General features: G+C 41.2%; 1 protein-coding gene across 9 annotated transcripts in view, besides 2 other annotated features; it reads left to right on the top strand.

Moving 5' to 3' along the window:
- The window catches only part of CAPN13 (calpain 13), an 84,676-nt gene that overhangs the window by 6,983 nt on the left and 50,001 nt on the right, over positions 1-27,692 (top strand). For all 9 annotated transcript variants that reach the window (XR_939741.4, XR_939742.3, NM_144575.3 and 6 more), the window contains 3 exons: positions 13,107-13,336; positions 22,825-22,897; positions 24,419-24,534. Coding sequence is in view for 7 of the 9 variants with exons in the window: in NM_144575.3 (NP_653176.2) it covers positions 13,139-13,336; positions 22,825-22,897; positions 24,419-24,534 (387 nt within the window). In the remaining 2 variants the exon portion in view is untranslated. The remainder of the gene's footprint in view (positions 1-13,106; positions 13,337-22,824; positions 22,898-24,418; positions 24,535-27,692) is intronic.
- Positions 1,776-2,483: an enhancer, noted in NCBI's record as "H3K27ac hESC enhancer chr2:31020847-31021554 (GRCh37/hg19 assembly coordinates)". NCBI's record gives its function as "activates a minimal SCP1, AML or CMV promoter by ChIP-STARR-seq in naive H9 embryonic stem cells {active_cell/tissue: H9 hESC(naive)}" and the evidence as "EXISTENCE:reporter gene assay evidence [ECO:0000049][PMID:30033119]".
- Positions 2,484-3,193: an enhancer, noted in NCBI's record as "H3K27ac hESC enhancer chr2:31020137-31020846 (GRCh37/hg19 assembly coordinates)". NCBI's record gives its function as "activates a minimal SCP1, AML or CMV promoter by ChIP-STARR-seq in naive H9 embryonic stem cells {active_cell/tissue: H9 hESC(naive)}" and the evidence as "EXISTENCE:reporter gene assay evidence [ECO:0000049][PMID:30033119]".

Raw genomic sequence — 27,692 nt, 5'->3', positions numbered from 1 at the left:
GTCTCCTGAGAAGAACCCATCAGCAGAGCTCTCTGAGCTATGATTCAGGAAGAGGCTGGGTCCACACAGCAAGGGCAGTAAGGAGAGAAGAGGCTGGGGTTGCCCTGCCTGTGGAACCTCAGTAAGTCGCTTCTGCTTTCTGCCTCTCTTGCGCCAAGCTGTTGATCTCTTTGGCAGTCAGCTCCAGTGCTGAACCCAGAGTCACTGGCAGGCAATAGAGAGGTCTATTCTGAGCACTTACTTCTCTGGTACCTGTTCCAGGTCTACGTAGTTTTCTTTCTTTCTTTCTTTCTTTCTTTCTTTCTTTCTTTCTTTCTTTCTTTCTTTCTTTCTTTCTTTCTTTCTTTTCTTTCTTTTCTTTCTTTCTTTTCTTTCTTTCTTTCTTTTTTTGAGATGGAGTCTCACTCTGTAGCCCAGGCTGGAGTGCAATGGCGCAATCTCGGCTCACTGCAAGCTCTGCCTCCCGGGTTCATGCCATTCTCCTGCCTCAGTCTCCCGAGTAGCTGGGACTGCAGGCGTCTGCCACCACACCTGGCTAATTTTTTTGTATTTTTAGTAGAGACGGGGTTTCACCGTGTTAGCTAGGATGGTCTCGATCTCCTGACCTCGTGATCCGCCCACCTTGGCCTCCCAAAGTGCTGGGATTACAGGAGTGAACCACTGCGCCTGGCCCTGTGTAGCTTTCTACATCTGAAGACACGAGAGAGGTTTCCTTCATTTCATTTCATGGCCTCTTCCCTGGCCCTCGGTGGATCAGAGGTTATCTCAGAGGATGAGAAACACTAGCTTACCTCTGCCCCTCTCAGCCCTGATTAGACACAAAGTAGGATGCCCTCGGCAGGGACGGAGGCATGCTTTGCTCACAGGCCAGATCACCCCAGCTTTGAAGCTGGGGGCAGGACAGGAGTCAAGCCCAAGCGCTGCCTAAACTTCTTCTGTTTCACCTTGAGCCCCACTTTCCCCTTCTGCAAAGTGAGCCCTGCATAGTCTTCCTCTGAGGTCTGCCTTTCTGGGGGCCACTAATCCCACCATGGTATTCAGGCCACACATGCATGGAGACTTACTGAGATGATTCTGAAGTGCAGAGTGGCTCAGGGACAGCACTGGTCTGGCGGTTAAGTTCCATCTTCAAACCCGATGTTTAAGCTCATTCTCACACTTACACCATCTCACATAAGCTCTTTGAGAAATACTCACATGTTCTTCCAACTTGCTGTAGATTTGTATACACACAAAATTTTCTGTCTTCTTCCCTCTCTCTCCCACCCACTCTCTCTTCCTCCTCCTTCCTTTTCCCCCTCTCTGTCTTCCTTCCTTCTTCTTACCCCCTTCTTTTGCTCTCTTCTCTCTCTCTGCTTCATTCTCTCTCTGTCTCCCTCTCTCTCCTCAAAGCCCTGAGGTATGCCAAGGTGGTATATAGCTGAAAGTGGTTTGCACATCTTTTTCCCACCAGAGAGCAGTTAAGTGCCTATTTTCTCCACTCGGGTAGCTAAATTATTCTCGATGTGTTAAACAGTGTAATTAAACACACACATACACACACAAGTGCACAGGCCCCTTCCCCCACCCTTCCTTGTTCCTTGTCAGCAGAGAGAGTGTCAGCCCCAGCCTTCAAGCTCTGTTAGTTTTAATTTGAGTTGTGGAATTAGTAATGGGTTTTGCTGGAACACTGTTGTGGGAAATAGATTGCTCCTCGTGCAGGGTTTGGGCACCATTTCAAATGAGTATTTGTTAAGGGGAAAACCGTCCCCTGTCGTGTTCTGCTACATTACATCAGATTTATTTCCATTGTTCTGAAAAACACCAGCCAGGAGAGGGCCGCAGGCAGCACTCCTGGGCAGGAAACCATTGAATGCAGCTTCCTGTTTCTTAGCTGATTGAAAACAAAATGCAAACAAAATTACCCTTTGTTGCTGGGATATGCTAGGAGCATCCTGCGGACAGGGACACCAGAGCAACCTGTCACTGGGGCAGGGAGGTGGTTTCATCACTGGCAGAAAGTCACTGAGTGGTTTAGTGCCCAAAATATGACACTGAAGAAAAGCAGAGAGAGAGCTCAGTAGGTTGAAGTTGGAAGGGATCTGCCCAATCCAAAGGCTCTCCTGGGACCCCGTGTAGAGTCATCCAGCCTCTGCTCAACCATTTCCACCCAAGAGTGCTACGGCCTTCCTTGTTCTGTGGTAATTCATGTCATTGGAAGTTCTCTTCTTCAGTACCATGCAATAAGGCTGCATGTGAATATTTACATTTAAATGCAAATTATTTAAAATTGAATAAAAATTAAAATCCAGTCCCTGAATTGCACTAGCCATCTTTCAAGTGCTCAATAGCTACGTATGGCCAGTGGCCACTGTATTAGACAGCACAGATATAGAACACTTCCATCATTGCAGAGTCTAATCAAAATCACTCTTCCCCAAATTTCTGACTCCTTCCACCGTCTGAACTGCACAGATCACATGTTCTTCCTTTGCGTTCATATCCTTTCCACTGGACATGTGTTTGGCCTCAGGGACACCTGGCCATCGTGTAGGACAGGGTAAGCAGAGGAGGAAAAAGCCCCCTCAGACAGGATAGAGGCTGTGGGACACTGGCCCAGCTGGAGATGCTGACAGATAGCTTGGTCTACAGCATGGCTTAGGGCCAGAGGCAAGGGTGCACCCAGTATTTCTGCCAGGCAGGTAGAGGAGATGACAGTCTCAACGCATGGAAAGAACACAACTCTGGAACCTGGAGAGACCCGAGGTTGGGAGTTCAGAGGTGACTGGCAGGTGCCTGGTATGCCCACCAGCTGGTGCAGGGTTGTAGTCACTGGGCTCAAGTTCAGGGCCAGGCAGGACACTCAAGGAGTTGCTGATAGCATAATGGACACAAGCTTTTATTATGTGCCACGCCAAGCCCTTTACAAGAATCTTCTCAATTAATATCCGTCTGCTGCTACGAGGCTGGTTTTATTACCTCCACCTCCCGTCCACTTTATAGGTAAGGAAAGGAGGCTCAGAGATATTAAGAGTATTGGCCAAGATCATTCAGTCAGTAAGAGACAGCTGGATTCAAACCCAAGTTTCAACCTGATTCTATGTGCCTGTGAGCACTGTTCCATGCTGCCTCTTTTTCCTTTTTCCTTAAGACACAAGGCAGAGTTCAGTTTTCTGAACTAGAGCATAATCTTGGCGGTAGGGAAACTTAGGGGTTGGGAGTACAGTTGTGGGGCCAGAGGTGGTTAAATATCTGCTCTCTTACAGCAGGATTATTCTGGAGGGAGGGGGACCTGGGCTGCAGGGGCTGAGTCTGAGGATCACTGTAGACCCCTCAGTCGGCCTTCTGTCCAGTAAACCTCTCTAGATCTCTGACCAGGAAGGGGTTTCCAGGCTTCCTGTCTATTTAGCTGGACTGCCTCCCGCCCGTCTGGCACATTTTTGCCAATATGAAAATTTGCCACCTCTTTCAGGTGGATATAACTGCATGCCAGGAGCCCATGCTTGCAAGCAAAGGGCTTGCCTCCCTGCCAGGCATGCTTATGTTACTCAAACACTCATTTTCAGATACCATTGAGAGTGCCGATAAGCCTCTTGGAATGTGGCCCCTAGAGCTGGGCTAGCCTGTCTAGAGCAGTGCCTTACTGCTGTTGAATCTGGTCAGAGCCTGCCAAATCTTTCATAGTTTTGTCTCATTTTAAATAGGAAGTCAAGTGAGGCGTACAAAATATTTTCAAAATGAAATTTAGCCAAGACAGATCCTGCTCACTATTTACTTGCATAGTTAACTTTTTAAATGTAAAGACAGGTTTGCAGTTTCCTTAGTTAATTTCATCTTCTTGGTTTTGAAGTCATTTAGAATTTTGATTCTGCTATCTGCTTGGTTAATTGCTCTTGATTTCCACTATTAAAAATGATGAAAGAGTTGAAAAGGATCTTCATTTTTATTTCAACATCTTCTTTAAGGACCAAGATAAAAATGTAGAATAGGACAGGACACAGGACAGAGCTCTGTGACTATTACAGTGCAATGATTCTTAGCTATTCCAGACCATTCATCCATGATCTCTGGGTCAAACTGCGAAATCTATTTACTACACTGTATTCTACTTTACTATGCTACGTTGCACTGTCATAGTACGTGATATACAACCTACTCAATGTAGTCTACACACAGGGAATAGGTGGAGATTTTATCAAATACTTTTTAAAAATCAAGACTATATATATACGTATATATATATGCACACATATATATATACATATATATGTGTATATATATATACACACACATATATATGTATATATATATACACACATATATATGTATATATATATATACACACATATATATATGTAATTCTCTTCCTGCAAAGTAAGGACTCTATTTTGGGGAAGAAAGGAAAAGGGAGGGAAAATTAAGTAATTGGCTTTGGCAAAGCTATATTTGCTAATACAGATACCAGCTTTATTTCCTAAGTACTCAAAGTATTTCTCTGCAAGTCTATTTCAGATTTTGATATATATGTTGGACTTCATAAAAATATTATTATAGAGCTATAAGAAATTTTTAAATCAGTGTTTTGGAAGAATGTGTTAATTACAAATTTTCTATTTTAAAAAGAGAATCTCTTACAAAGTTTCTTACATTAAATTCCCATAAGAGTTAATATTGGCTCAATTTATAAAAATTAAACTTAAAGCAAATATTTGTAATACATTTGTATTAGTGTAAAGAATATTGATGTTCATCAAAAGACACTGTAAAGGAGTTAAGAAGATAAGCCACAAACTGGGAGAAGATATTTACAAGACATATGACCAACAAAAGACGAATATCCAGAGTGAGTAGTGAATTCCTACAAATCAATAAGAAAAAGACAACCCAATAGACAAATGGGCACAAAATATGAATATTCATTCCTCAAGAGAGGGAACATGAATGGAGAATAAACATATTGAGAGATGCTCAATTTTACCAGTAATCAGGGAAACAAATTAAGACATAGGAGTTACCACCTACTCCCACGTGATGGGTACAAATAAAAAGCCTGCCAATACCAAGAGTTAGTGAGGATATATAGCAATGGCAACTCTTTTACACTGTTGGTGAAATTATAAATTGGTACAACCTTGGACAATAATTTGGCATACTTAGTGACGTTGAGTATGTGCGTTTCCTAAACCCAAAAATTCTACTCCTTGTAATATAAACTAGAGAAACTCTTGCATGTTTATCAGGAGATACGTACAATAACATTTATAGCATTATTTTTCATTAAAACAGAGAAGAGCATTAAATGTCCATTGAGAGGAGAAGTACAAATAAATCATAGGGTAACATACAGCAGTGAAATAAATGAAATCCCGCTACTTTTTAACCATGGGGTGCAGGGAGAAGCAAATTACAGAAGACTATATAAATTATATATAGCATTTAATTTTTGAAACAACTCTACTTAGAATATACAAAAACTGCATATGTTTAAGGTATAAACTTTGATGAGTTTTGATGTGTATACACATGTGAAATCATCATGACACTCAAGATGAAAATATTTCTATCACCCCCAAAAGTTTTCTCAAAACCCATTCCTCCCTCCACCCCCATTTCTGAGCAACCACTGAACTTCTTTCTGTCATGGTACATTAGTTTGCATTTCTAGGATTTTTTTATAAATGGAGTCATATAATATGTATTCTACTTTGACTGGCTTTCACATAGCATAATGATTTTAGAGATTTATTCATGTTGTTGCATGTATCAATAATTCATTTCTTTTTATTGCTGAGTAGTACTTTATGGGTACATCACAATTTATTCATTCACTTTTGATGGACATTGGATTGTTTCCAACTTTTGGCTATTAAATATGTCTGTTTTGATTATGCACAAGTCTTTGTATGAACATATGCTTTCATTTCTCTTGGGTAAATTCCTAGGACTGGAATGGCTGGATCATTTTGAAGGTGTATGTTTTAACATTTTAGGAAACTGCCACACTGTTTTCTAATGTAGTCATACCAATTTACATATCTACTGAGAGTGTATGAAAGTTCCAGTTTTCTATCTCCCCATAAACAGTGTGATCAGTCTTTTTAAATTTTAGGCCATTAGAAAATGGCCTATAGTGAGCTTTCACCATGGTATGAATTTGCATTTCACTGATAACTTATGATGTGGAACATCTTTTCAAGTTGGGTTATTGCTTGTTTTTATATACTCTTTGGTGATGTGTCTTCAAATCTTTTGGCCATTTTAGTGGGTTTTTTTTCTGATTATTGATTTGTAAGAGTTCTTTATATGTTGTGGATTCAAGTCCTTTGTCTGATATACGTGCTGCAAATATTTTCACGTAGTCTGAAATTTGCATTTTTGTTTTTTTAATGGTGTCTTTTAAACTTTGATGAAGTCTAATTTATCAATTTTTTTTCTTGTATGGCTCATATTTTTTGTATTCTATCAAAAACACATTTACCTACCCCAAGTTTGCAAATGTTTTCTTCTGAAAGTATTATAATTTAAGTTTTACCTTTAGGTCTGTGATCATTTTGACTTGGTTTTTGTGTGTGGTGTGAAGTAAGATCCATGTTTGTTTGTACTTTTCCCATTTAGAAATCCTGTTGATCCAGCACCATTTTTTTGGAAAGACTTTTCTTTCCCCCATTGAATTGCCTTGAAACCTCTCTCAAATTAATTGGCCATATATGTGTTGATTTATTCTAGATTCTCTACCCTTCTCCATTGATCTATTTGTCTATATTTTTGCCAGTACAGTAGCTTTATAATATGTATTGAAGTCAGGTTGGGTAAGTCCTTCAGTTTTTTCTTCTTTTTATAAAATTGCTTTGGTTATTCTAGGTTCTTCGCATTTAGATATAAATCTTAGAATCTGCTTATCAATTTCTAACAAAAAAAAAGCATGCTAGAATTTTGGTTAGGATTGTATTGAACCTATAGAGAAATTTGGAAAAAACTGCCATCTTGGCAGTATTGAGCCTTCCAATAAATGAACCGGATATATCTCTCCATTTATTTAGTTTTCCTTTAATTTTTCTCAGCAATGTTTTATAGTTTTTTAATGTAGATATCTTTAATGTCTTTAATGTTATATTTTTTCCCAAGTATTTTGTATTTTGGATGTTACTATTCTCCTATTTTTTGTTGCTATTATATAATAATATAATTTTTTAATATTAACCTTGTATCTTGTGACCTTACTAAATTTAAGTATTAGTTCTAGTAGTTGTTTTGTAGATTTCCTACCATCAAAATACCAAAATAGGACCTTCTTGTTTCTGATCTTTATGCCTTTAATTTTCTTGTTGCATTGGCTAGGACCTTCACAACAGTGGTAAATAGAACTATAACAGTGGGCATTCTTGCCTTGATTCTGATTGTAAAGGGAAGAAAATGCACTTTCCATCATTAAATATTATGTTAGCTGTAAATTTTTCACAGATACCCTCCTGAGGATGTTACCTACTATTTCTAGTTTTCTAACAGTTTTTATCATAAATTATGTCTTTGTAGCTTTTTACTGTGGTAGATTGCAGGTGGATTTTTAAAAATATAAATCAACCTAACATTCCTGAAATAAACCCAACTTATGATGTGGTATCTTTCTTCTTCTTCTTTTTTTTACATTATTGGATTTGATTTGCTAAAATTTTAAGGCTCTTTGCTTCTCTATTCGTGAGAATATTGCTCTGTAATTTTTTTTCAGGAAGAAGATTTCTTTATGAGGTTTCGTTTTTAGTATTTTGCTGAGCTGATAAAAATAAGTTCAGCCGTATTTCCCTTCTCCTCTATTTTTTGAGGAAGTTCACGTAAGATTAGTGTTACTCTGTCCTTGAAGGTGTAATAGAATTCACTAGTGAAACTATCTGAGCCTAGGGGTTTCTTCTGGAGAAAGCTTTGGATAGTAAATTCAATTTCTTTACTATATGTGGCATTATTCAGATTTTCTGTTTCTTCTGTGTCAACTTTGATAAATTGTATTTTTCAAGAAATTGATCCATTGTATGTAACTTAGCAGATTTGTTGGCATTGGGTGGTTCATAGTATTCTCTTATTAGCCCTTTAATGTCTATAGGATGTGTGGTGATAACCCCTTTATCAAATGATAATATTGGCGATTTATGTTTTCTCTCTTTCACTCTTGATCAAGTTGACTAGGGGTTTGTCAATGTTGTTGATCTTTTCAAAGAAGCAGATTTTTGCTTTGCTCATTTTATCTGTTGTCTGTCTTCTGTTTGATTAATTTCTGCTCTTATCCGTCTTCTGTTTTACTAATTTCTGCTCTTGTCTTTCTTATTTATGTCCTTCTACTTATTCACGTCTTCCTAATTCTCTTATGATATTATCTTTGACTCATAAATTATTTAAAAGTGTGTTTAATTCCAGATATTTGGGGTTTACCTAAATATTCTATTGTTATTGAATTCCGCCTGTGAATTTGCATGTAGAAGAACAACACGTAGCTCAGGGAAAAGAGAGAAACCGGGGCAATAAATGCCCTTTTCATGTTTCTGGGCAGATGTAATTTAGGTGATTTATCTGTGTATTCTTACAACTATTTATTTCTGAGAGAGAGAAATACAAGCAGGTTAGGACAAGATTAGAGTCAGATAAATAAATAATAATGAACATCTTTTCATAAAATATTTCATGGTTTAAATCTCCTTCCATATATTTTCTTATTTAATTTTTCAACAAAGTATCATGTTCCCATTTGACAGATGAAGAAACAGGTGTTTAGTGTGTATGAGGCAGAATGAGGACTTGAGTCAGGATGTTCTGAAGTCACTTAACTCTTATGCATCTTTTCCATGAAATGTTAATAAAAGTTCTCCAATAAAAGGACTTACTGGTTATATGTGTGAAACACTGGGAGCAAACTTAAGTTTCTTTATCGAAGGCTTTCTTGGAGCTTTTTGTGAATTTCTGTAAAGACTGTTCAGTATCAGATGTTTTCCAAAATAATTTCATCTCATAATTTGTTATTTGTGGAGTGTTTCATGAAGCAACTGCTTCACAGAACACACTCAAGAATAGCTGATATGTAATATTTAATCTGCTGACACTCAGGAGATTTTATTGAATACCTACTATGTGCCAGGCCTAGCGCTAGGTGCTGGCATATCAAGATACTGCTAAGACATAGTTGTATGGCTCAGCAGTATCTAAGACATATCTCCCATTAAGGAGCCCTCATCATTTTTCCGTTAATTCAAATAATGTTCACATACTTATCACTGTTGCTGCTCTGTCATTTGTTCTTGTGTTCACTGACATCCACTGTCTATTCTCTGAGAACCTTACCGACATGACCCAATTCCCCTTTGATCTGCACACTTCCTGCAGTATGCAGCCAGGGCTAGGAGAGTTGTTGGATCAGGCTAGGGTTAGTCACTGCCAAGGCCTGAATTGTACCGTCCCCCTCCCCCAACAAATTCATATGAAACCCTAACCCCCAACATGATTGTACCTAGAGATAAGGTCTTTAAGAGGCAATTAAGCTTAAAAGAGATCATAAAAGTGAGGACTAATCTGATAGAACTGTGGTCTTATAAGAAGAGGATGAGGGAAAGATCTCTTCCCCACCCTCCACCACATACTGGCACTCTGATCTCTGACTTCTAGCCTCCAGAACTGTGAGAAATAAATCCTGTTGTTAACCCATTTATGCCTAGTGTTCCATTATTGGAACGCTAAGCATGTGGGAGTTATTTATATCCTACTGCTCAAGGTCATCACCAAGGTCTGACTGCAAACATCTAAAAAAATTGCAACCTCAGGCATAAATGCAGTTAAGCCCCTCGGTTGGTGGTATTTTGCTATGGCAGCCCAAGCTCACTCAGTCACCCAACTCAGCAAAGGACACAGGGAAGCTCGTTTCGTAGACACCAAGGGGAGCTAAAGAGGCTTTGTAGCCCTAAGCCACGGCTCCTGCTTGCTTCTCAGCCTAATTCTGAGCTTGACTGATGAGCTCACACAAGCTTCTTACATGAAGAACTTTATATCAATTATTTTTGTGATGTTTCTAGCTCTCCTTGTGTGACTTTTCTTGCAACACCCAAGAGCTGCCCCAGCAGCAAGATAAACTTTATCTTGAATATCAGGTAGGCCTTTCAGCAATCTTTTTTTTCCCTTAAATTAACAAAGCTGAGTCTTCTTCTGCCTTTGGCTACCCTGCAAAGTGAGACAGATTGGGTAGAGAAGAGAGGAAAGAAGCAGAAAGCCCTCCCAAAAGTGACAGCAGGAAAATCAGGTGGTCCTCTTCTGCTGTGCACAAAAGTGAAATGTTGTCAGGTGTTGTGGGCCCTTCCTGAGAACATGAGCCTACAGGCTGTTCCCTGGCGAAGCCAAGAGCAACTCAGAGGAAAGAACTATGTGTGTGGAGGCGGGAACAAGCTTCCCCTGCCTGCTTCTCCCTTCCCCATCAAGAGTCTCCTCCCAGAACAGCCCACCTCCGCAGCAGCAGACACCCAGCCTGCTGCCTGTCCCCAAGCCTTCCCTTCCCCCAGGCCTGGGCAGCCCATGTAGTGAATGCAGAGCAGTAACAGAGCCCAGGGCCCAGGTCTGACTGACCATCCTGGTCCTCACCCTGCAAGCCCCTCTGAGCCTAGCCTGTCCTGGGTATGAGCAAGTCCTCATCTTAGACAGTGTTGGGCCTCTGCACAGTCCTTTCCTGCTCAAAATAACAATGATCATCATCCTAATAACCACCATGTATTGGCTGCTTTGTACTTACCAGTCACTGTGCTGCGTGTTCTGGGAGCATGGTTTCATCTGAGTCTCACAACAACCCTATAACATGTGTAATAGTATCATCATCTCCATTTCACAAATGAGGCAAGTGAATCTTAGAATGGGAATTCCTAAAGTCTGGCCAGTCCTCCATCCAATAGTGCACAGTGGGGGCCCCCCAGATGGACTAGGAACTGATCCTCGCATATAAGACCTTTGTATGATTCCAAAGGAGAAATGAAGCAAAATTCTTTAGAATTTCATTTTTATATGCAATTAAGGGCTACTTACAGGCAATCCCATAATTGTATTATTAAGGGTAACTACAATTTGGTTTTCATAAACCAAAACTAGCTCATTGCTAGAATTTATCACACATTGTAATTCAATATTTTCCTGAGAGGTAGGAGGCTTGGCAATGCTATACTGGTTCCACTGTCCCCGAGCATGCACAGAGAATTGGTAGACCCATGATTTTCACAACTCTTCATTATCGAGTGCCATCGCCTTTTGTCTTGAATTGACAATCAATTTCTATCACTGTTTTCTTACTCTTGAATGATATCTTGACATTTCAGCTTTATCACTATTTAATTTGTTGCGGGCCCTCTTTTTAACCCTATTTTGAGTGGTGAGACATACTGAATATTTTGTGCCATTATTCTATAAGAACTCAATTGAAGAAATGTACATGTGTATTAGGTTAAACTAAACAGAGCTGTTTGTATTTAACCATTTCTTACCTTAGGTTAAACCCTATGAAACTGACTATATTCAACCATTTTTGACCTACAAAAATGGCAGTTCTGTATGGTCCAATCTAATAGTTCAAATGTAAATGTAAATTATTCATATCTTGTTTGTCAGACAGTTGTATGCACAATTCTCTCCAAATATGCTTGCACAATGACTGGTGATATTCTGTCTATGAATTTGTGCTATCTAAATAACTTGCCACATGCTATTACAAGGTAATTGTAAGAAAATTGCTAAGTTATGTTAAGTTTACATGTATTTTTCTAGGATTCAAAATTTTGATTATGAGTTCATATTCTTTCCTTAGAATTTATTCCTTTATAGTCCTTGCTCATTCATTATCACCTGCTTCCTTTTCCACTGTGAAGTGGAAATGGGTGCAACACAGGGACCTTGGGATTTTTTGTGCCACCTGCACTGACCCTGATCAAAGAAGCTTGAAAAGCCCTACTTTAAGGACCAGAGAGGTTTTTCAATTCCCATAACTAGGAAGTATGGATTCAGGATTCCCATCCAGGCCAGCCTCACAGATGGAGGACGTGGTACATTTTTGGTAAATGGCACCAGTTACGTTCCTGTGGCTGCCTGAACAAGAAACCTCAGCCTTCCTTGTCAACTCAAGGAAAATTGGGATGCTAACATTTACTGAGGGACTACTGCATGCCTGTCACTCTGCTCAGTTGGTTAGGTCAAAACTTATTTAATATCATAACAAACCTATGAGATTCATAGCTTCAATCCATACAGGTGGAGAAATAGGTTCACAGGCTTGAATATTCGCTCCAAATTGCAGAAGCAGTATGTAGCTGATGAAAGCAGAAAGCAAACTTCAAAACCCATGTGATATTCACTGCACTATCTTTTCTTCGTTTTCTTTTTTTCCTCCCTATCCCCCATATTCAATTCTCCACCTATAAAGTTACACCAAATCTGTCCACACTCCACCATCTTCCCTTCTGATGCTCTACCACTGTCTCTCCTGTGGACAAGTGCAGGAGCTCCTGGCTTCCTTCCTGCTTCCAGTCCCTGCCCACACCCTCTCTCTGGTCCCCAGATTGCTCCTAGCAGCCCCATTCTATGTACAGATCTGATCATGCCCCACCTCTTTAACAGCCCTGCAGAGTTTATGGGGTATAAAACATTTCCTCACCCAGCTTTCCAACCTACCTTTCTGGCAATGTCATCCAACACTTCCTACCCACCCTCTCTGCCCCCATCCCACAAAACCCTCCAACACCCCGTGACCTTTCCAATGCAACTCATGGGCCTCTGCGCACTTGCTGCTCAGGGAAGCTGTGGATACCTTTTTAACCTACCTACCAGTTCTTCACCTGGCAGTGCTCAATAAATGTTCATGAGATGTACTAGTACCCCATAGCCTCTTGTGCACGTGAAAGCACACGGGAAAGCTGTTTTGTACAGCAGCTTGAAATGTTAACTGGGAGTGAGGATGCTTGAATCCTAGTTCAGGCTCACTGACTGTGCCACCAGGGACAGTGCAGACTTAGTCTCAGTCCCTGTAAAGGGTGGTATATCAGAGTGCCCATCTGGGGCTCACATTTGATGATGCAAAGGACTTGATGGCTTACCCCAAAGGTATCCCTTTTTCTCACCAACAGGAAAGGACCTCGGAAGTCTTCTAAGGAGAGTCATGGCGTATTACCAGGAGCCTTCAGTGGAGACCTCCATCATCAAGTTCAAAGACCAGGACTTTACCACCTTGCGGGATCACTGCCTGAGCATGGGCCGGACGTTTAAGGATGAGACATTCCCTGCAGCAGATTCTTCCATAGGCCAGAAGCTGCTCCAGGAAAAACGCCTCTCCAATGTGATATGGAAGCGGCCACAGGTGAGTGAGCCCCACACGAGCATACCCAGCTCCAGGGTCCTCGGAGTCGCCTGCCATGGCACCTCCAGCCAAAAGGAGGTGGAGCCAAACCAAACTGGAAGGAGAATGAAATTCACCAGGTATCTCTGCTACAGTGTTGTAGCTACTCAGCAGGATGGGAAGATGCTATAGCAGGAACCAGGAGCCCAGACTCCTGAGTTCTAACCCAGTTCTAACACTAAGTACACCACTAAATTAAAATACCTCAGTTTTTCATCCAAAAAATGGGAAACCACGGGTATGAAGATTGTAGTTGTTGCTCTTTGGAGTCTCCTCCACCCCATAATTGACCCCATCTATCACTCTGTCACCCTTTCTTCTCTTCAGGTGTCAGTATCTTTATATTCTTTTTTCCTTCCCTGTTAGAATTTGCTCAAAGGGAAGATAGCAGGTCAGTCATTTACACTATAGGATGAATTTAAATAATCACCTCTCCTCTCTGCTTTATATTCCCATTCTCGATCTTAGAGAGGCTCGACCACCTGTAAGAGAATTTTAGACATTAACTTTAAAATTAGGGAGAAATTGCAGGACAACATTCAGACCTCCCTGACTCCACAACCCCAGCAGATGGCCACTACCTCTACCTTGCAGCCAGGTGAGCCCTTCTGGTTTTTCTAGAACTATCTTAATTTTAGGGCATGACAAGTCCACGGAAAATATCTCAGCTGACTCAACATTCTGATAATCTCATCAGGACTACTGTTGATGCAAAGCACCCGGATAAGGACCACCCTAAGGACCCTTTTGCCCAAACCTCTATTCACACTTCTGTAGGCACCAGCATAACCTAGAATGAGATAAAATAATAGAATGTCTAGTAAGCTAATCATTATAATATCTGCAACCATTATTGAGCACTGATTAAATGCCAAGCACTGTCTAAACACTTCCCATAAAGTGAAGGTAGGTTACAGAGTAAAGTTATTTTCTATTGGTGACTACTAAGAGGCTATGAGGTCCTCTAAAGTATTTGTCTGGTCTGTGGATATCTAATTCAGTTCTGCACATGGGAAGGAGAACTGAAGACATCAGGCTCTGGGAGGCGACACACCTCTTGCCCTACGTTGGGGCAGATTTGAAGCTTTGGTGAAGGGAAGGGTTAGGGATCAGGTAGGGTTTGGGATGCTGCTTAGAGAAAAGTGGGGTGTTTCAGCATTCTAGGGTCCTCTTATCAGCCATTGGCAGTAAGTCCTCAACAATGATTCTCTTCTTCTAGCCTTTACCTCCTAAGGAGAGCTGAAGCAGAGAATTCTATTTAAAGAAGTTCCAAAAGGTCATTTTTTTCCCTTTGCTATTTTCAGAGGCTGAGATTATTTCAGAAAGTGGTGGGATTTTTTTCTCACAAGGTGCTGAGCAATAGATGTAAGACCATATTTATAGTGTTGAAGAATTTATAACACTTCTCTTTAGAAAGGATTGAGAGATTCTAATTATCTGAATCTCACAACAACTCAACTTGTGATGTCTTTTGGGGGCAAGGAGAAACTGAGGCCAACAGAAGTGAAATTACTTATAAAGAATAATGCCAGGAACCCAAAATAGAGGCAGCCAGGGGCCGAATCTGCTTTTCCCATTACTACTCTCCTCATCCAAAAGCTTACCTGAGCTCTACTGGGGGGACTGGGGACAGGGGTATTTTTCATTCTGGCACTTCTTTTTAGATGTCATATTTCTTTGTCTTTCTTATCACAGTTGACAAGACTTACCTTTGTGTAGTACTTTCCAGAGCTTTCCATGTGTCTTCTCATACTTTATCTGCTTTGTTTTCTCCTAACTTTATAGAAAACTGATGTTCAGACAGGTAATATGATATGCCAAGGTGACATGATTAGAGAGGGAAGGATCCAGAATTTAAATGAAGATTCTTTCCACCTGCTGCACTTTCCCCCCACTGACTTAAGTGCCTAGCAGGGACTCTGCTGGAATTTGGATGAACAAGTACATGAGTGAATGGATGAATGAAGGACCCTATCTACATGTGCCTGATGCATGTTTCAAGTTCACACGTGCAAGAAAGAAACTCTGAGTTGACGTATTTTCCAAGTAGGACAGTAAAGGAAAAAGCCAATGTACTCACCCCTTCGACACTGTGATGTCCTTGACCCACAGTGTACAGCTGTGACTGCAGAGAGCACTGGAAGAGGAGCCACACCAGCCTGGCCCAATCCTAGTAGTAATGGCCACACCCACAGAGTGTTGACCACATGGCAGGCCTGGCTTTAGGAGCTTTGACTCATCAATCTTCACAGTAACTCTATGATAAGGTACTGTTGTGAGCCTCATTTTGCAGCTGAGAAGCAGAATCAGAGAGTAGGGGGACCTCTGCCCAAAGTCATATAGTTAGATGATACTAGAGCTGGAATTTGAACCCAGGAGTCTGGTTCCAAGACCTGAGCTCCTAACACCATGTTACATGACCCTTGTAAGGCCTCATCATAAGCTTATGTCCTATTCTGGGCTCCTGCCTGTCACTAGTAATGTTTTTTGCACTAGTAGAATCTTCTACCTCATGTGAGTAAAACAGGAATCAATCCCTCTCTAAAGTTGATCTATGTTCTGCCCTTTTTTCCCTTTTTAGGGATAAAAATGGCACCTGTACCACATATGATTACTTTAAGTACTAAATGAGTACAATACTTAGAATAGTGTCTAGCACAGTCTAAACACTAAGTAAACACTAGTTTTTGTTACTGTGATTAATTTGGGAAAAGTCATAAGGTAGCAGCCTCAGGGCCTATTCCCTGGGATTCTTGGGTTTTCACAGTCCAGCCATCTCAGCTTCAGTCCTTGGCCAGTTTAAGAAAACTCTTTCAGGGAAAAATGTGGGTCAGGGGCTGAAAGAAGGTTGGCAGGGAGTGTAGAAAATGCCTTTCTTCTCATGTTCTGCTTTTTTTTTTCTTTTTTTTGAGATGGAGTCTTGTTCTGTTGCCCAGGCTAGAGTGCAGTGGCACAATCTCGGCTCACTGCAACCTCCACCTCCTGGGTTCAAGCGATTCTCCTGCCTCAGCCTCCTGAGTAGCCGGGATTACAGGCATGAGCCACCATGCCTGGCTAATTTTTGTACTTTAGTAGAGATGGGGTTTTACCATGTTGGTCAGGCTGGTCTCAAACTCCTGACCTCGAGTGATCCACCCACCTCAGCCTCCCAAAGTGCTGGGATTACAGGCATGAGACACCACACCCAGCCTCATGTTCTGCTTTCTATCACTATTTTTAGAAAGTTGACTGCCAAGCTATAGCTTGCTGAGTGCCTGTCCAGAGGTCTGACCAGTGGCCCTTAAACTTCAACTATATAATGGCTGAGGTAGCACCAAGGTGTTTTAGGCCATCTCCACATTCTAAGTTTTTCCTGACAATGAGAAAGCTCCTCCTGTAGGCAACTGGTAAACCACAAGGGACATCATTCTGTTTTGAGTATTCATCCCAGCTTGGCAGGTTCAACACTAGCCCAGAAGTCAGGGGCATGAGAACCAGGCTTAGCTTTCTATGCCTGGTGCAGAAAAGTTTTGTGTCATATATCTTTCCTTCTTTCTCCTCCCTGCCATCTTACCTACCCTTTCCTTCCTCTGGCTCTTATCCTTCCTTCCTCTAACAATTAATCCAATAATCTAAACCATTTTGCTGCTGAAACTTTTTCTGAAGTAGAAGGAAGCCCCGTTCACATCCTGCTTTATTCTGTTCCCAAGCCCTCCCCCTCCCCCAGCCAGGCTCCGCAGTAGCCCATGATGGTGCCCTGTGCAAATGGCACTGAGAGGACCCGACTCCTCATCAGCCTCAATGCTTCCTACAACCCTGGTCTCAGCAAGGGACAGTGCTAAAGATTATACTTACATGTGAGGTATCTATGTGATATTTCCCTGAGCTAAATTTAGTACTTAGAGTGGACCCCTTTTAGGAGAATTTTTATTTCATGGATAGTTTATCAAGCATGCACACGAGTGAAGTATTATGCTAAGCACTTTACATGCAATATTTCATTTAACTACCCTCACAGTCCTGTGAGGTAGATAATACTATCATCCTCATTAAATAGATCAGCACCATCCAATAGAACATTCTGTGATGATGGAAATGTTCTTCTCGCACTGTTCAATACAGTAGCCACTAGTCCCGTGTGGCTATTGAGCACTTGAAATGTGACTGATGCAACTGAGGGATTAAAGGTTTAACTTTTATTGAATTTAAATTAATTTAAATGTAAGTATCCACATATGGCTTGTGGCTACCATATTGGACAGTACACGATGGTAGACAGTAGAGCTTCACAACAATCACCAGTGTTGTCAGATAAACTGAAATTTCATCTTTGTACCCATTTTATAGTAAAAGACGTTTTACTTCTCAACTGAAAAATGGGCTGTGTGCCCCAAGCACGTTGCTTAACAGGTGTTCGAAGCTCAGCACAGCCCCGTTGTGGCTTCCCGCCTGTGGCCATCCTAGAGGGAGGCACTGCCTATCCCAGTGACATCTTCCTTCCACACAGCCAGAGCAGTTTCTGAAAGGATCATTCACTAGAAACGACTCACCTTGCGACCAAAACGTGCTCTTCAGGAAAGGAAGAGGTTAACAAGGTAAAGTTGTAAGTGCAGGTTAGGTTATGAAAATGTTCCATAAGGCAATAGGTAACAAAAAATGGCAGAAAGTGACCCTGCAAACAGCCAAGTGTCATTCAGCCAGAGAACTTTGATGCCAATAAATCTAAGTCCTCTAGCAAAAATAGAAAAGGGAGTGACGCTGACACCTGTCCCAGACTGAACTCTGGCCACCATGTGAAAAGGCCGAATACTAAGATGCTAAACACAGGGCTCTCTTATCCAAGAGCGGCATGCCGTGTGAGGATGTGGAAGTCTTTAGAGAGAATGCAGAAATATGAAGAGTGCTGTCACATGGAAGACATTATTTCTTGGCATATTTCTCCGTCTACCTCTGGAGACGATTAGGGTAGAGCAGCTGGCTTGAGATCACATCAGAGAGCGTATTTTCTAAGATGCCAGGAGCCCTTGCATTACAAGAGCTCTGACATACCTAATATAACACAGATTACCCCCCAGCTTTGCCTGGAGAAAGGTCTCCACAATCCAGAATTAAGTTCCTAAGATTACTTAGCTTGACTATTGCTGTTGGCTTCTGTATTACTCAGGGTTCTCCAGAGAAAAAGAATCATTAATATATACCCTGTTGACATATTTATTGCTAGTAAATATATCAATATATCTTATATAAATATATCCTAGTATATATCTCATTAACATATTGATGTATATCCTAATAGATATCCTATTGATATATTTATGATGAGAGATTTACTAGGAGGGATTGGCTCACATGCTTATAGAGGATGAGAAGTCCCACAATATGCCACCTGCAATCTGGAGACCCAGGAAAGCCAGTGATGTAGTTAAATCTGAGTGGGAGGCCAGAGAACCAGAGAATGGATGATGTAATTCCCTGTCCAAGGACAGGAAAAGACCAGTGTCTCAGCTCAAGGAGTCAGGCAGAGAAAGGGCAAATTTTCCGTTTATCTTTTTTTCTGTTTAGGCCCTGAATAGACTGGATGGTGCCCACCCACCCTGGGAAGGGAATCTGCTTTGCTAAATCCCCCAACTCAAATGTTAAAGTCATGTGGAAGCACCCTCATGGACATGCCCAGAAGTAATGTTTAGCCAAGTATCTGGGCGCTCCGTGATGCAGTTAGGATGGTATATAAAATTAACCCTCCCAACTTCCTTCTGCACTAATAATGTTTCAGAGCCCTCAAAGGCCAAGTCCATCTCACAGGATCTGAAAACATAAAGTTGAGAAGATGCTGCCTGCTGGTGTGGTCAGAGTGAAGAACAAGACACTATGGAGGCAGACACCTGATTCAGAGCCTGTTTCTTGTGTGACCTGGAACAAATCGGTCAACTTCTCTGAAGCTGCTCCTTGGCCCTGGCTGGGTCTCAGAATCCCCTGAGAAGCTATGTGAATCTTGAACGCTATCTCTGAATGACCTGTGAAATCAAAGTAGTGGGAAGTGGGACACAGCAGTCTCCCTGTCTGTGAAGCTGCTGGGTGATTCACAGTCGGCTGGAGACTGCCCATTGCTGGCAGTTCAGCCTGAATCTAATCCAGGTTCTCATCACACTGGCTTCACTGCCCTCATGTGCCTGACCCATCTGGTAACAGGTGGCCTTCCCAGAGTCAGCACATTCACATTTTCCCAGCCATCTTTACCTGTTTCCTTAATGGGCCTCATCTCAGGAAGTCAGCCTGGCAGACTAAAACGCTCCTGGGTATCATTTCCATCCCTTCCTACCATCTCTCTTTTTCGATTATTGGTCACAGCTCTAAAGTCCAGAGTCCGGAAGGAACAAGCAGCTTAGAGGACAGGAGACATAGAAGCTGCTTTTGTGCCCACCTTTGATGAAAATGACTCCTATGTTTTCCCATAAACTTGAAGTTGACTATTGATTTGTGGTTTGAAATCATCACCATTGAATTTTCATCACATTAAAATATCTTTTTGTTCCTAATTAGCTAAAATTTTTGTTTTTAACTTTTATTGTTCTAGTAAATCATGAAAAGTTGTTGTATGTTTATCAAATGCCTTCATAGAATTTATTGAAAGGATACAAATTTTTCTCCCTTTGGCCCATGTAAGTGCTACTTCATATTATTAGATGTCTGATGTGAAACTATCCTTGCATTCTGCATTTCTACAGCAAATACTATACGATGATAACAAATTATCCAAAATAAGTCTGGTATGTCTGTGTGTTTTCTCTCAGGTTGGGCATCAAGGCTATGCTGGCTTCTTAAATGGTGGCAGGATTCTTTTTTAATTTTTATTTTTACACTGAAACTGTCAATGACACTGGAATTGTCTATTCTCTGAAAGTTTGAGGGAACTCAGAGGAAAAACTGCATGTACCTGTAAGCCTTTACAGCGCATGCGGGTGATACTCTTTGGTAACTTTAAAATACTATTCCAAGGCTGTTAGTCTTTTCAGCTTATTTACTAACATGAGTCAATGTTAGCCAAGTTAATTTTTGTCAAAAAATCATCAGATTTTTTAATTGATTGGCATAGAATTCTACATCATGATTTTATATTTCTAAAATGCAATTTTTAATTCTACTTTTATTTGGGTTTCTCTACCATATTTGCCAAAGGTTGGGTCTATGTAACCCTCCCTCAAATATTAGGTTGGTGCAAAAGTAATTGTGGTTTTTGCCATTGAAAGTAATGGCAAAAACCATTATTGGCCATTACTTTCAATGGCAAATAATAGAACAATTTATTTATTAATCTTGCTGTTTTTCTGGTATATAATTCACTAATTGTTCTTTTCAGTTCTTCCTCCTATTTTTGAGGCTCTTTTTGTCTTTTTCTTTCTAAGATCTATGAATTGACTGCTAAATTCATGTTTTTATTCTATCTTGTTTAATAATGAATGCATCTGAGGCTATGGGTTTGTCTGAGTATAGCCTTTTTAATTTTGCAAATATTTCAAAAGAGGGGGATCAATATTTGTTGAACATGTACTATGTCAGACACTGCGCTAAGTATTTCACATCCTTCCTCATTTGTAAATGTAAGGACTGGTCCAGCTTTACAAGGCTGTTGGGAGCCTACCAGAGAGAACCCAAGGTACCCGCCCTCAGCAAGGGTTTGATGAATGACAGCCATTGCCTTGATTGCATCGTCATTAGATTCTCTCAACTGTCTTTACATTTTGTATTATTGTTCCATTTTACACATGAGGAAACTGAGGCACAGCAAAGTAACGGGAATTGTTCAAGGTCTCAAGGTCACCCAGGGAGAAATATTAGAGTAGGATTGCACAACAGGTCTGTCTGAATGGGCTTTCCAAGCACACCTTCTCCTGCCCTGGGGATCCCTGGAGGGGAGCTAGCAGGACCACAGTGAAGAAGAGCTGTGGCCAAGGTCAAGAAAATGGAGCAAAGCCATTTTTGTTCCTGGTCTGAAAATGCCACAGCCTCCATCTCTTCTTTACTTCTCACGAGTGGAGGATCTTTGACAGCAGGCCTCCTTTGAGACCCTAAGTCCCCTTTTCCAGTAGAGAGAGGAGACAAGTAAAGGCTACTGAAATGCCCTACACCATTTTAAAACTGGCTCTACTTGGAGCTCTGCATGCAGCCGAAGGCCCTCCGGATGTCCTTCCCTCTTTCTTGCATTGGAGGAAATGCCAAAGTTCTGCCCACGATGGCTCTGGCAGAGGGTCGGACCTGGTGCCACCCCAGGGTCCCCCTCACCCGGGAGGGCCTGGGCCTGAGAGTTCCCCTCCCGGCATGTGACGGGGTCAGTTAGTTGTAGAGAAAGCAGCGGGAGGAGTTTGGTAAAATCATCCCCGCAGCCAGGACCCTGTGTTTGCAGGCGGGCACACCTTCGTTTTCCCCTTAGTGTGCATCTCTTCCAGGAAACCTGGGCAGTTTATGAAGAGCTGGCAGGTTCTACAAGGCACATGACTCTGTACATGAATGGCTACTGAGCAAATGAATCCAATTCCAGTTTGCGGGCCTGCTCTCTGCAGACTTATTGGTCAATGTGAAAAGAAATGATATAAGGACCAATTACCAAATTATGCAAATCCAGGAAGAGCTGCACAGAGAGGAGGCCGAGGTCATCCTGGCCAAGTCTAGAGGGCTGGCTGGTGCTGGGGCAGAAGCCAGACCTGTGGCCTGGTGTTCTCCCAAAGTGCCTGGGGATCCCCTTTAGGAACTCTCACAATTTTGGTGCCTGCTGACAGTTCTTCATATTCTTCCCAGATGTGGCAGCACTGGTGGAATCCTCCATAACCACTGTCTCTGGCTGGCAGGCACTATGTGTGTTAGAAGTTAAGGAAGGACCGGGCACTGAGTACCAGCTCCTCACACAAGGGGACTGCGGCCTTCCAGACCCGGTCTGTGAGTTACCCAGGGAGTGGGCAAAGAGCTGAGTCATGTGTACCTTGTATCCCTTACAGCACACGGCTAGACTTAAACCTGTAGTCCAAAATACCTATGCTAATTTCTGAGATATACCATTTCACAACAAAAGCTTTATTATGAAAGTTATAGTACTTTATTATGTTTATAAACCTCTCCTCTAATAAATGTATTCTATTCATTTTTGATGGTTTATTTACAACCTCTTAATAAAACACTGCCTTGTCGAGATGGAATGGCTATTTGATCCAAGGACTCCAAGTCCTTATTTATGTTATCTCTCCATGTAGTATGCTAATGCATTTATGGCCTGTCTTGTCAGTTACATTTACACTCCGTGACACCTGCTGCCTTCCTGGTAGCAATAAAGGCTGAAGAACGTGGTGAACTTTCCTAACTCGGATTTTAAGCACCTATTTAAGAATTAACCTCGACCCTTGAAAGACAAAGTGAATGATGTCGCTTTGGGATACAAAGGAATAAACGATGTTCATAGCTTTTCTCCCTCTTTCCTAAAGGATCTACCAGGGGGTCCTCCTCACTTCATCCTGGATGATATAAGCAGATTTGACATCCAACAAGGAGGCGCAGGTAAGAGTGCAACATCTTCCCTCCGTGCCCTGGATAGGAAGTGGTGGAGGGTGGTGCTTACCCACAGAGTCCTGCCCCACTTCTGAGGGAGAAAGGCCAGTTCCCTTGGTGCTGCCGTGGACAAACTGCTCACGCCCAGTCCTGCAGCCTGCAATGAGCAGGGGAAAAGGAGACAGGAAAAATGAAAGCAAACATACACTGAGTTTCTGCAATGACCGTGCAAGATACCTTGTGTGTGCAACAACCCCATTTTATATATGTGACAATGGAGAGTGCAAGAGGTAAAATAATTTGCTTAATGTCACACACTCAGTTAGCAACAGAGTTAAGAATCCAGCACTCTCTGACTGCTTCCCACCCCACCAGACATTCCCAGAGCAAAGGAGCTGCTGAGAGCTGGAGGGCATGGACAGGGAAACAGGAGGGGCTGCCTAAGAGGAGGTACCTGGGCTGTTCCAGGTGTGGCCAAGAGAAACCTCAGAAAGAGAAGCCTTGGAGTGAAAGGGCAGAGCTGGCTGGAAAGTGGATAGGAGTTGGGAGACAGCAAAAACAACAACCCTTCTGAGAATACACTCTAAGCTTTCAAAACGTCAGCTTGCCGATGATAGGTCCTGTACTTGAACTTCGCCTGGTGAAATCACCGTGCCTTGGACCAAGTCAATAGAGCCTGCCTGGCCACCAGCCAAGGGTTCCCCTGTTGGAGTTTCACCTAACTGGAGAAAGGACCTCTCTGAGGCCATCTTTGTGGCTTCTGTACTGAACCCAGTGTCTGGTGTGAAATGGCATTCAAAGACAAATTGATCATGTTAGGGGTGAAGGAGAAAGGACTCAGGGAGGGGAGGAGAGGCTCAAAAGGGCTTACAACGACATCCAAGGAGAAACTCGAGGCCATGCATCCCTCAAGGAGGAAAAGGAGAGAACGTCCCCCTACTTCTGCACAGGGACGGGCTGAGCTAACAGCAAAGAAAAACGCGAATCAGTTTTCCTCAATTGTACACAGCATCATTGCCAAAATTTGCTGTAACTGAGCACCTCTGGCAAAAAGAGAATCAGAGGCTGGACGTGCTGGCTCATACCTGTAATCTCAGCACTTTGAGAGGCTGAGGTGGGTGGATCACTTGAGGTCAGGAGTTTGAGACCAGCCTGGCCAACATGGTGAAACCCTGTCTCCACTAAAAATAAAAAAAATTAGCCGGGCTTGGTGCAGCTGTGGAGGCTGTGGCAGGAGAATCTCTTGAACCCGGGAGGCGGAGGTTGCAGTGAGCCCAGAGCGCGTCACTGCACTCCAGCCTGGGCTACAGAGCGAGACTCCATGAACACCACCACCACCACTGCCCCTTCTTTATCTTGCTTGGAGCCAGTCCCTGTGACTCCCTCCCCCGGTTCTCCTCTCTCAGAGGAAAAAAAAATGCATTATTTAGAAGGAATTGTGTAGCCTCTGGTGGTAAGGACCTTTGAAATTATGGGGGAGGGTTTCCAAGTGTGTCCAATCAGCCTTTCCTGGCTTATCTCCCCTCACAGCTGACTGCTGGTTCCTGGCAGCACTGGGATCCTTGACTCAGAACCCACAGTACAGGCAGAAGATCCTGATGGTCCAAAGCTTTTCACACCAGTATGCTGGCATTTTCCGTTTCCGGGTACGTGTGCCCTTGCAGCGCTCATTATATGATGGGGTTCTCTGTGAGTACAGGGAAGGTGAAAGTCTTAAGTTTTCTCGTGGCCGGGAAGCCTGAGATGAAAGTGACAGTTGTGTTAGTTACCCTCCCTACCTTCAAAAAAAGGATTCAAGCTTATAATCTGACAACACACAGGGAAGATGAGAGTTGAAATGTTTTTGTGTAAATAAAAAGAAATGACAGAAATGATTAGCAAAGAGTCACTGATCGAGAACCCTGTAACTAACATCGAGTTTTTGTCTCTGTCTATTCCTGTGCCATATCGTGCTATTTTGATTACAGTAGCTTTATAGGAAGTGGTAACATCTGGTAGGATAAGTTCTCCTTCATTATTCATTACCATTTTCTCAAAAATATCTTGGTAATTCTTGCACATTTATTCTTCCATGAGAATTTTAAAATTATTTTGTCTATTTTTTTTAAAAAAAGCCACTGTGATACACAATGCAGCAGCATTTATGTATTAATTTAGAAAAATTACATTTTTATTGTTTTAAGTTTTCCTTTCCAGAAACACGGGATACCTTTCCATTTATTCAGAACTAGTTTTCTGTCCTTCAATAAAGTGTTATATTTATATTGGTGGTGTATCTTTCTTGATTAATTCATTCTCAAACATTTTATGATTTTGTGGCTCATGTAAATGAGGTCTTTTTCCCCTCATTTTGAACTTGGTGCTGCTAAAAAAGAGAAAAGCTACTACTTACCATATATTAAACTGCATCTAGCCAACTTACCAAATTCTTTTATTAGTTCTTAATTCTTTCTTTAACAGAATCTGGAATGGTTTAGTTATCTAATAATATTATCTGCAAATAGATAATTTTCTATCTCCTTTTAATATTTGCAGAACTTCTTTTGCTCTCTTGCTTTGTCACATTAGCTAGAACCTCAGAATTTTGAATGAGTGACAAGAGCCAAATCCTGCCTTCTCTTGACTTCAGTAATGTGCTTCCTTGATTTACTCTTCTTTCAGTACATTCAAGTTGCTAAAAATTGTCTTGGAATTTTTGTACCTATATCATGCATAAAATTGATTTCTAGTTTATGTTATTTTTATCATGTTTAAGTTCTGCTAGCTTTTTAAAACAAACTGATTGAGCTATACATACCTTGATTTGAAGTAAGTAGAATAATGAGAGCTAATCATTGATTAACTGTTCTTTGAAAGTAAAATAGACAGTAGTGAAATTACCTGGGCCTGCCTCCCTTTTAAATGTGATTTCTTTAATTCTTCCAATGTATTCAATAGCTATCCAACAGGTCTTTTATTTCTACCGAAGTTAATTCTTGAAATTTATACTCGACTAGAAAAATCAACTGTTTCTTCGGTATTTTCAAATATATTGCCACTGAGTTGCTTATATGAATCTCTGACAATTCATTTAACCTCTTGTAATCTGTGACTAAATCTACTTTCTCAATCTGTGCTGTATTTTTACTTTTCCTTTTTTTCTTAATTCCGCTTTTCTTTATCCAGTCGATCTGTTGTGTGGGTGTTGTGTTTGTTTGTTTTTTGACAAATCAACTTTTGATTTTCATGAGTCTTTCTATTCTTTTTCTTTTGAGGTTTTGTTTACTATATAACTAATTATTTCAATCCTATCTTTATTAATTCCTTTATACTTTCTCCTAATTTTATTGTTTTTGTGATTTTCTGAAACTGCACACTTAATATTCTTAGTCTTTTTACTTTCCTCTGAGGTGTGTATCCATAGGTTTTGATATAAAAAGTCTTACTTTTATTAATTTTTAAGATAATACATTTTTAGTTTTTGTATCTTTTTTCATATAGGGGTTGTTTCTTTAAAGTTTATCTGATTTTCAAGTGATTAAGTTTTGCAAGGGATAATCTTTTAGTTGCTGAGTCTCTGTTTTATTATAATTGGAGAATATAATTCATAACTCTCTGCATTTGGGGAGATTAATAAAGTAGTTTTATTTCTAGCCAAGCCCACAGCAGTTTTTATAAATGGCTCATGGACACACAAGAACAATCTATATTATCCAGTGGTTGTAAGTTTTACATACTGAATTAAGCTCTATGATTTGCAATTGTGTTATCTGTCATTATGTCTTTCATCTTTACTTATTTTTTGTCTGCTTGATTCATTAGATCATAAAGAGGAGAAGTTCCTCCCATAGTTATTGTTTGGAGAATTCTTCTTATGCTTTCAGGTGCTCTGGCTTTACACTTTTCCTGCTATGTTCTTTGGTGCCCAGAGGTTTACGATCTTGCTATTTTCTTATTGCAACAAAATTTGTACAATATCCCTATTTGTTGCATTTAATGCTCTGGCCTTGGGTTCCTCTTTACCTGATATTCCTATTGCCACTTTGGCTTCCTGTTATGCACATTTCCCTGTTCTATTTTTGTTCATCTCTTTATTATTAATTTCATGCTCACTTTGTTATAGGTGTGTTTCTTATAAAAAGCATATTTAAAACTCATTGCCTACCACTGTTTCTCCCACCCTTCATTTCTCCTTAAAATTTTTGTTCTAATTAAACCTTTATTAGATAGAATTTCCTTGAATAATTCCTCAGAATATGTGAGAGTTTTTCCTTTGCTCTCACTTAAAAATGATATTTCAGTTAGGTTTAGGATTCTTGGATCACGTTTCCTTTCCTGAAAAGTCTGTAAACATTGTTTCGTTGTCTTGTAGCTTCCAATGCTGCAGAAGAAAAATCTCATGTTAATCTATTCTCTGGACTTTGACTTTGTATGCAATGTGTTCTTTCCAACTGAGAGTCTATAAGAAGTGCTGGCCAGGCGCAGTGGCTCACGCCTGTAATCCCAGCACTTTGGGAGGCTGAGGTGGGTAGATCACGAGGTCAGGAGATCGAAGCCATCCTGGCCAACATGGTGAAACCCCATCTCTACTAAAAATACAAAAATTAACTGGGCGTGGTGGCGCATGCCTGTAATCCCAGCTACTTGGGAGGCAGAAGCAGGAGAATCCTTGAACCAGGGAGTCAGAGGTTGCGGTGAGCCGAGATCATGCCACTGCACTACTGCACTCCAGCCTGGCAACAGGGCGAGACTCCGTCTCAAAAAAAAAAAAAAAGAAATGCTCTCTCTCCTTGGAGTTCAGAAATCTATATGTACACCTGCTAAA

This window comes from Homo sapiens, chromosome 2, assembly GCF_000001405.40.
Source record: "Homo sapiens chromosome 2, GRCh38.p14 Primary Assembly".
NCBI lineage: Eukaryota > Metazoa > Chordata > Mammalia > Primates > Hominidae > Homo > Homo sapiens.
This window is presented reverse-complemented; position numbering and strand designations above follow the sequence as displayed.